The sequence below is a fragment of the Homo sapiens genome, chromosome 6 (genome assembly GCF_000001405.40).
Source record: "Homo sapiens chromosome 6, GRCh38.p14 Primary Assembly".
NCBI classification, from domain to species: domain Eukaryota; kingdom Metazoa; phylum Chordata; class Mammalia; order Primates; family Hominidae; genus Homo; species Homo sapiens.
This window is the reverse complement of record NC_000006.12, coordinates 47,751,461-47,761,243: the sequence shown is the minus strand read 5'-3', so window position 1 is coordinate 47,761,243 and position 9,783 is coordinate 47,751,461. Positions and strand designations below refer to the sequence as shown.

At 35.5% G+C, this 9,783-nt stretch overlaps 1 pseudogene; it reads left to right on the top strand.

The window, feature by feature from the left end:
• Positions 7,988-8,478, top strand: RPL27AP7 (ribosomal protein L27a pseudogene 7; annotated as a pseudogene).

Genomic DNA, 9,783 nt, shown 5'->3' with positions numbered 1-9,783 from the left:
ATAAATAACTGATATTCACAATTACAGTTTTAACTAACCATTACACAAATATGTATTGAGCATTTTCCAGATGACAAACACTGAAAAGAGAGAAGATGTGGCTTGTGGTGATGTCAGTCATTGGGCTTTTAGTCCAATAACAGCAGAAAAATTAATATGTATAGCACATTACACAATAAGGTTAGAAAATTCCAGTGAGTTCCATATGTATGATTCTTGGGAGCTCAACCTGAAACCGTCAAAGACTGCTTAAGGTGAGATGATTTCAAGTATGAGAACTTAAAGGATAGCTAAGATTTAAATAGAAGTATACTGTAGTGATTATTAGCATAGCTCCTGGAATCCGATGTCCTGGGTTCAAATCCCAGCTCCACTACTTGCTAGTTGTATGCCTTTAAGGAAGTTACTTAAGATTAAATGAGTTAATATAGACCAAATGCTTAAAATAGTGCATAGGAGAGTTTGCTGTCAAAATTTAAATAGGAGGGTGATGAGCATGAATGAACCTAAAAGATGTGTACAAAATGAACTATGTGATCCATGTCGTCAGGCTATAATAAACAAATCACTGTATATGTGCACCCACTCACACATGTCTGCATGCTAATAATAAATCTGATGTGTTGAAGAAACCTCACAAAACTAAATGGTTAAAAAACAAATAGTGCAGAGAATTCAGTTATGACGAATACATGGGTTCCAATACCAAGTCTGACTAAATGACCTTAAGATGATACTGAAACTCTAACCTCTTTTCTCCATGAGCCAAATGGATAACAATATAATACCTGTGTTATGGGGTAGCTGTGAAGAATAAATGACATTTGACCTGTAAAGCACAGTGCTTAACAAAATTATTACTAATTTTCTGGTTAACTAAAGGAAGAGAATCTCTTTGATTGCAATGATTTTATTTAAAAAGTCCTTCAAAATATATTTATCTACATCTTAATAGACTTGTAAGACTCAGCTTGCTATCCAATTAGAATATGGCTTTTGTCAGACATAAGCTTTCTTTGTCTTTTCACGAGGCAACTGATTTCTTATCCTCTCTTTGTCCTCGAAAATCAGCTAAATGTCACCTATATGTAGCATTCCATTCTTTCCATTCCTCTCCAACAAACAGAATCATTAGTTTCTCACTCTTTCTGGTCCTCATGATTCTTTATACCAAGCTATTATAAAACATATGTCACTGTATCTTAGTTAATCCCTTATGCCCTCATTCAATTGTATACTTTTTAAATGGTGAGATACTAATCTTTGTACATGTCACCCCTTCACCTTTCCTTCTAATAAGCATTCTTTAAAAAGCACCTTGAGTAAATAATAATTATAATTAAATTTTTCATATTATGCAACACACCAGTGTCTTTGTTTCCACTCAATTTCTGAGGCTTTATCATTGACATCTACATATTTTATGTATATTAGAAATTCATGGCCATAATAAGAACTTTGAGGACCTGATGAGTTAGATTTCAATAAAAGTTTTACCTTAACTTCATTTATCTAATTCATTAATAAAAGTTTTAAATAAAAGTTTTACTCCAACTGCATTTTTCTGATTCATTAGATGTGAAAAATGGAAGGTAACATTTGTTGTAAAGCAACTTCTTTAATTTAAAAATGCTTAGAACTCTGAGCTAGCTATTAGCATGATGTCATGGAGGAGGCATTCCTGGAAAGTAATATTACTCATTCTCATCACCAATGTACATTTAAAGGTCGAAATCTGAAGCTCATCATCTTATATGTGGGCAATCACCTTGGGAAGTATTGACTTTTCCCTGTTACTTCTTCATTCTCAAATAATTGTTCTTTCCTAAAGTAACTTATCAAAGTTTAGCAGGACTCTTACTTTTATTGTGGCACTATCTTTTACATTCAAAACCTAAGATAGCATTAGCTGTTTGATTACAACTATCATTTCAATGAGGATCTAATTTAATTAAGTACCTGGGTTCTTTTCATGTCAGGTCTGCTTGTCTCTTACTGGTACGTTTTATTCTTTCAAAACTAAAATATAAATAAATTTATTAAAAGATATATATATATAGGCCGGGCGCGGTGGCTCACGCCTGTAATCCCAGCACTTTGGGAGGCCGAGGCGGGCGGATCACGAGGTCAGAAGATCGAGACCATCCCGGCTAAAACGGTGAAACCCCGTCTCTACTAAAAATACAAAAAATTAGCCGGGCGTGGTGGCAGGCGCCTGTAGTCCCAGCTACTTGGGAGGCTGAGGCAGGAGAATGGCGTGAACCCGGGAGGCGGAGCTTGCAGTGAGCCGAGATCGCGCCACTGCACTCCAGCCTGGGCGACAGAGCGAGACTCCGTCTCAAAAAAAAAAAAAAAAAAAAAAAAAAAAAAAGATATATATATATATATATCCCTGTTAAATTTCCTTTGAATCTATCTATCATTCTAAACCACAAAGATCATTCTTTTTCTGTTTTGCAGACTCACTACCCTCCTATAAAGAGGAGGTAACCCGTAAATTCAACAGGAGGCAAATGATTAATTAAACTGTGGTACATCAATATCATGGAATACTGGAGGCCATTAATTGATATTTATGAAAACTGTAAAATAGCACGGAGAAATGTTTATGATGTAATATGATACATACAAATTAAATCTTTAAAGTTTCATAAATGCTTTCACAAATAATGTAAATAAATATTTGTGGAAGAAAATACGGCAAAAGATTGATTCCAGGTGGTCAAATTATGGTTGCCTTTTTTTTTTCTTTTCTTGTTCTCTTTTCCCAGAATGTTCTAGTCTTCTACATTGATTTTTAAATTTAAAAAAAAAATTAAGAAAAAACAGATGGAGATTTTAGGTTATTATTCAGAGAAATAAGAAAAAGTGCAATTTTTCTAAAATTACTTGGCTAACTCCTGAGTTCCTGCTGCACTGCAGTGTTTCCAGCCTCACATGGAGAGGTTTTTTTTGCTATATATGGCCTCAAAATTTGTTTTCCAGCTTCTAAGCTTTAACATATGTACTTTAATCTGGACAAAAACATGTCCATGAATATGACACAATAAGATACACAGTTCATTGGCCCATAGGTTTTCCATACAAAGTGAGAATCATCTGGAATGTTTTTCTACCATTACTCTTGTTATAATCTTATATAACATTCAAGCTTCATTTAAGAACAACCTCCTGCATGAAATCCTTTCAGCCTCCCCAACTGGAGGTGTTTTTCCCAGCCTTTGTGACATTCCTCTGAAATGTAGCCTGTGTTGCCTTACTTTTCTTGTACATTTATGCCCTATGCTTACTCCTTCATCTCAACAAACACACACACGCACACACACACAAATGCACATGCACACTTACACATAATGCACTGATTGTGGGCAAGTATTTTGTTCTGGGAGAAAAGCTACTAGAAGAGTTATTTAGCAGTGCAATTTCTTTGTTAATTTGTAAGATGATTCTAGTTTGTAGAAGGTTAATATGTTTATTTTTTATGGAAGAAAATAAGTTGAAGTTACCTGGAATAAAATGAATAACAACAAAAATAAAATTATTCTTTTAGTCTATGCTGTTTGTCAGAAAAAAAAATCAAGAATCTAGGCTATAAACCATGCGGTAAGGGGCTTGAGCCATGTTTCTCCCCCACCCCACCCCCAAGTACTCAGCTGTAAGTTTCATGAGCACAGCTACCCTGACACGCCACTCCCACTTCCCTCACCGATGCTGCTTTTTACCTCAGGTCCTTTGGTGTCTTTTTCCAGTGTCTGCACCCACACTCATCTGCTCCAATACTGTTGACCATTTCCAACTCCTCTTCCTGCTCTCTTTCAGTCTGTGACATTGATGAGTGACACATTTGTTACCCCTGACAGTCTCACTGTCTTTCACTCTCCATGCAACAAACGTTCCCTCAGGTGATGTAGCTCTTTCAGCCAGTTTTAAATCACTCAGGGTCTAAGTAATTTTGGCCTCAAAAAGCAGCCCTTCACTCTGAAGTTTATCTCTCTTTCATTTCAGGACAGTTCCCAAGTCCTACGGAATCTGAGTCTGAAAATCTTCAAAGTGACATTTCCCAATAGCCTTTTTCTATGAACCCTAAGCCAATCTTCAAAAAGAAATACATAATATCCCTTGACTAATCCCCAGTCAAGAATGAGACCCTACTCTTCCAGAAGCACAATTCTTCCCTTGCCCTGTATGTATGGGGCCTTACTCTTCCTAATTTCCAAGAACTTGACTTTGAGCCCAAGTCCCATTTGTATATTTCCCCTTCTCCCAAACTTTCTGGGGGCCCCAAAGAAAAACAACATACCTGAGGTCCTGCTATGATGTTCTAGAGTTCCTGATGTAGCAATGTAAATTTAGCCCCTCAGCTATTCAAGGCTTTCTGTAATGCAGATATAAACTGGACTCCTAGAAGTTTGTGGGTATTGTGCATTGACGATTGGAGGAAATTGAAAAGGCAAATACTTGGGGCGGAAAAAAGCCCTAATATCTAGTGAGTTCTCTAACAGATAGGAATGAATTGTTTATTCATTATTGAAATTAGAGGTCCAATCACATTTTAAAAATCTTGCTGAAATGGCTGGGCACAGTGGCTTGCACCTGTAATCCCAGCTACTTGGGAGGTTGAGGTGGGAGGATTGCTTCAGGCCAGAAGTTCAAGACCAGCCTGGGCAACACAGTGAAACTCCCATCTCAAAATTTGCTTAAATTGTGACAATGGGTTCTAGGTACTTGGAAGCTCTTTATACTATTATCTTTACTTTTACATATGTTCAAAAATTTCTAGGATAAAAAAATGTGTAAGTTCAAATATAGATCTAAATTGTTTACCTATCTTAGTAAACTCCATGTCTAAGAACCTATCATGAGGGAACAATATAAAATTGTATTAGTTCATTTTCAGGCTGCTGGTAAAAACATACCCGAGACTGGGCAATTTAGAAAAGAAAGAGGTTTATTGGACTCACAGTTCCACGTGTCTGGGGAGGCCTCACAATCATGGTGGAAGGTGAAAGGCACATCTCACATGGCAGCAGACTAGAGAAGAGGGCTTGTGCAGGGAAACTCCCCTTTTTAAAACCATCAGATCACATGAGACTTATTCACTATCACAAGAATAGCACAGGAAAGACCTGCCCACACTATTCAATTACCTCCCACTGTGTCCCTCCCATAACACGTGGGAATTCAAGATGAGATTTGTGTGGGGACACAGCCAAACCATATCAAAAATATACAAAATATTATGCATATGTGTGTTCATCATAGCATTACTTTAAATCATAAAATGTTAGAAAGAAATCTAATTGGGCTCATCCATAACATTAAAATGTGTAGTAGAATAATATTTAATGACATAAGAAAAGGTTTCTTTTTTTATTTTATTGCTAAATTTAAATGAATCAGATAATAAAAATTATATATAAGATTTTGCTTAGTGAAAAACAAAATATGTATACAACATATAATGACTGAGTATATATTCAGATATGCAGATATTTTAGATATATGTCTAAATATAAACAATTTAGATATATATTTGCACATACACCATTCTTAGTCTAGAAATTTTTGAACATATATAAAAGTAAAGATGTTAGTATAAAGATGATAGTATATAGTGTATATATCCTATATATATGCACACACATATAGTTATGTATATAAACACTACATATTATATATTTATATATGTGCTGATATATATTAGAATGTAAGATATGATTATATATTAATATGTAATATATTATAACGTATATTCTTTATTAAATATTGTATTATATGTTTACATATAATAATTTTGTATAATTTATATATAATAAATTTTGAATATATATATATATAGTTTTAGACACCAACATATATATTTAGTCAACCTCATATATTCAGTTTTAGTCAGCTGGAAGTCAGAGATCATGGTGCCACCACGGTCAGGTTCTGTGACGGCCCTCTTCCTGGCTGGCAGATGGCTGCCTTTTCACCATGTCTTAACATGTTGCGGAGATAGAAACAACAAGTTCTGTGGTGTCTTTTCTTATAAGGGCACTAATCCCATCATGAAGGGCCCTCCCCTCATTACCTAATTACCTCCCAAAGGCTCATCTCTAAATACAATCACATTGTGGGTTGGTGCTTCCACATATGAATTTTGCAGACACAAGCATTCAGTCCGTAGCATATATCAATATTAAAATAATTATCTCTGGAAGATGTATTATTTCTTTTAATATTTCTGGGTCTTCTATGTTTACTACAACAAATATACATTGTCTTTATGTAATAAAGGGGAATAAGTACACAATAAATGCCCATTTCTGTGGCTTAGAAAGGCTTCTGCTTTCAGTTATAATAAGAACCAATTCTCCCATTGAGAGTAACTTTAAAAGTTTGTAAAATACAGAAAAACAATTTGAATGGCACCATCAAAATGGTACCAAAGCGACAGGTTTGAGAGGCTAAGATCATGGAAAGAAAACTCGGAAGTGAGTCTGACACTTTTCAAGGTTTTCCCATTCAATGCATTTGCTAATTCATAAGTAAAGTGGGCAGGAATGTTTAGAAGCTGATCAAAAACTGGAGAGTTGGAGAAAATTTGAGTAGAATTTTCTGCAGTCTTAGCAGCTATAAAGACATACCTGGAGTTTAGGGCTACCAACACAGTTAGGACTTGAAAGTTCAAGATCTTGTCCAGAAAGGAAGTTTGCAAAAGTGAACTTGGTACCCAGGGTCAACGATAAGTACCTGCTAAGAGGCTAAAAATCTAAGCAAGGCTATTAGCAATCTCACTGTGCTGAGCAGAGAACACATACAGTTAAGTGTCTGCTTATTTGAGGGAATACTGTATAAGCTACCTAAGATTTCTTGAAGAACTGCACCATAAAAATTAAGGTAGAGTGGAAATAGATCAGATCTTCAAACAGACAGACGTCAAGCATAGAAACCAATTAAGCCCTGGTTGAATTAAGGTAATCTGTTCTTCTCTGGAGGAATATAATCATCCAGAGCATGTACATTATTTCATACATGATGTCTGATATTCATTCAAAACTTACCAGGCCTATATATCAAGAGAAAAGAACACGATATAGAACAGATGGTAAAAATAGACTCATAGGGATGCAGATATTGAAGTTAATAAGCAGAGCATTTAAAATAAACTACGATTTACATGTTCAAAATTTAACAACAGGATAAAGAATTTCACCAGACAACTAGAGTTAATAAGAAGAAGTATAAAATGGAAATGGAAATCCTAAAACTGAAAAATACAATAACTAAAAAACATGCAATAAATAAGTTAAAGAGCAAATTAGACACAGCTGAAGAGAAAATTAGTGACCTATAATTTCAGTACGTAAAAAGTATCCAGGTCTAAGATTAACACATATATTTGTGGTCCCAGAAAATGACAAGAGAGAAAAGGGGCAAAAGCAATATTTGAAGAGATAATGACCAAGATTTTCAAAAATAATGAAATATATCAAACCACAAACTCAAGAATCATTATGAGCTCCAACAATGTCAAAGAAATCAATTTCTAGGCATATCATAGGAAAACCAAAGACAAGGAGAAAATCTTTAAAGCAGACAGAGGGTAAAAAAAAGACACCTTACTTTCAAAGCAGCAAGAAAGTGATAATGACAGGTGCTGTCTCAACAGAAATAATGAAAGCTACAAAGTAAAGTTTGTCTTCAAAGTGATGAAATAAAATACTTGCTAACCTAAAATTCTATTTGAAATAAAAATATACTTATAAATGAAAACAAAGGGTTTTTTGAAGTAATAACAATAATAGTTTCTTGCCAGCAGAATTGTGTAAATATAAATACTGAAAGGCATTCTTTAAGAAGGAATATAACTACAGAGAAAGGCACAGACATTGAAGAGTAAAGAGCAATGAAAAAGGTAAATATGGGGTTAAAGCTAAATAAATTTTGTCTTATAAAACAATAATAAAAATGCCTAGTGGACTTAAAAATATATAGAGTCTCTCTATGTTGTCTCAGTTGCTGACATGCCATCCGGAATGAGAAAGACCCAGAAACTTTGGGGCCACATGAGCCACGGCCACTGCCTCATCAGCAAGCACCAGAAGCACTCAGGAGGCAGTAGAATGCTGGTGGCATGCAACACCACAGGATAAACTTTGATAAATATCACTCTGGCTACTTTGGGAAAGTTGGTATGAGGATTACCACTTAGAGAGGAACCAGAGCTCCTGCTCAACTGCCAATCACAATAAATTGTGGACTTTGGTCAGTGAGCAGACACAGGAGAATGCTGCTAAAAACAAGACTGGGGCTCTCCACCATTGATGTGGTAGATTACTACAAAGTTCTGGGAAAGGGAAAGCTCCCAAAGCATCCTATCATTGTGAAGGCCAAATTCTTCAGAAGAAGAGCACAGGAGAGGATTAAAGGGTGTTGGAGTGGGGCTGGTGGTGTGAAGCCACAGGGAGGGAGGTTTGTTAAATGCTAACAACTGCTGCAAAAAAATAAAAATAACAAAACAAAATATATAGAATATTAAGATATGACAAAAAGGGCAACCAAAAAAGGGCAAAAGGAAGGTAAATGAAGTTAAAGCATCCCAAGGTACTAACATCCTTCAGGAAGTGGCAGAAATAGTGACTTACAGTGAACTGTAATAAGTCAAGGATGAGTATTTTAATCTCATGGTGAACTGTAATAAGTCAAAGATGAATATTTTAATCTCTAAGAAAACGATAAAAGAAGGTGTATAACTAAGATCATTGAAGGGTTAAATTATATAATAAAATTGATTCATTTTTTATTATAAAGTGGATGAGACAGATATAAAAAAATAGCAAAATAAGTGTAAACCCAAATATTTCAATGATGACATTAAATGTAAAAGGTATCATATTATAATTAAATGAGAAACACTGTAAAACTGGGGAAAAAAAAATCATATGCTCCTTTCAAAAGCCCCCCGCCCCCACCACCTTAAATATAAGGACACATAGAGGTTGCTGGAAAAAAGTATACCATCAGTGAGGTGTTGAAGCCGACTCACACTAGCTCATGAGCATCAGTGATCACATTTTTGGAAATATTGTGAGCCAGTTAATGTCCTGCTACAAGCTTGAAATCAGTCCTGGTAAGAGTGGCTACATCATGGAAGGCGGCAAACGCCACAAATCAGTGCTTCTCATTCCTAGAGAGCTGATTATTAAAAATGTACAACATACCTTGGTATATAATGGAAACAAAACCAAAAGAAAACCGATATAGTTATTTTAATATGAGTCAAAGTAGACATAAGACTACTACTAGATATTAAGAGGGACATTTTGGAATGCTAAAAAGGCAGTACACTGGCTAGGCATGGTGGCTTATGCCTGTAATCCCAGCACTTTAGGAGGCCAAGGTGGGGGGATCCCTTGAGGCCAGGAGTTCAAGACCAGCCTGGCCAACATGGCTAAGCCCTGTCTCTACTAAAAATACAAAAATTAGCTGGGCAATCACTTGAACCCGGGAGGTGGAGGCTGCAGTGAGCGGAGATCATGCCACTGAACTCCAGCTTGGGCGACAGAGCGAGACTTTGCCTCAAAAAAACAAAACAAAACAAAACAAAACAAAAAAAGGCAATACACCAGGAAGATAAAACAATTCTTGAAATATCTATGCCCACTAACATAGCTTCAAATATATAAAGTTGATAGGATTAAAAAGAGGAATAGTTCCCCCATCATGGTAGGAGATCTTAACATATCTTACTATTTTTAATAAAACAAAGGAAAAAATTAGTGAGGGTATACAACTGTG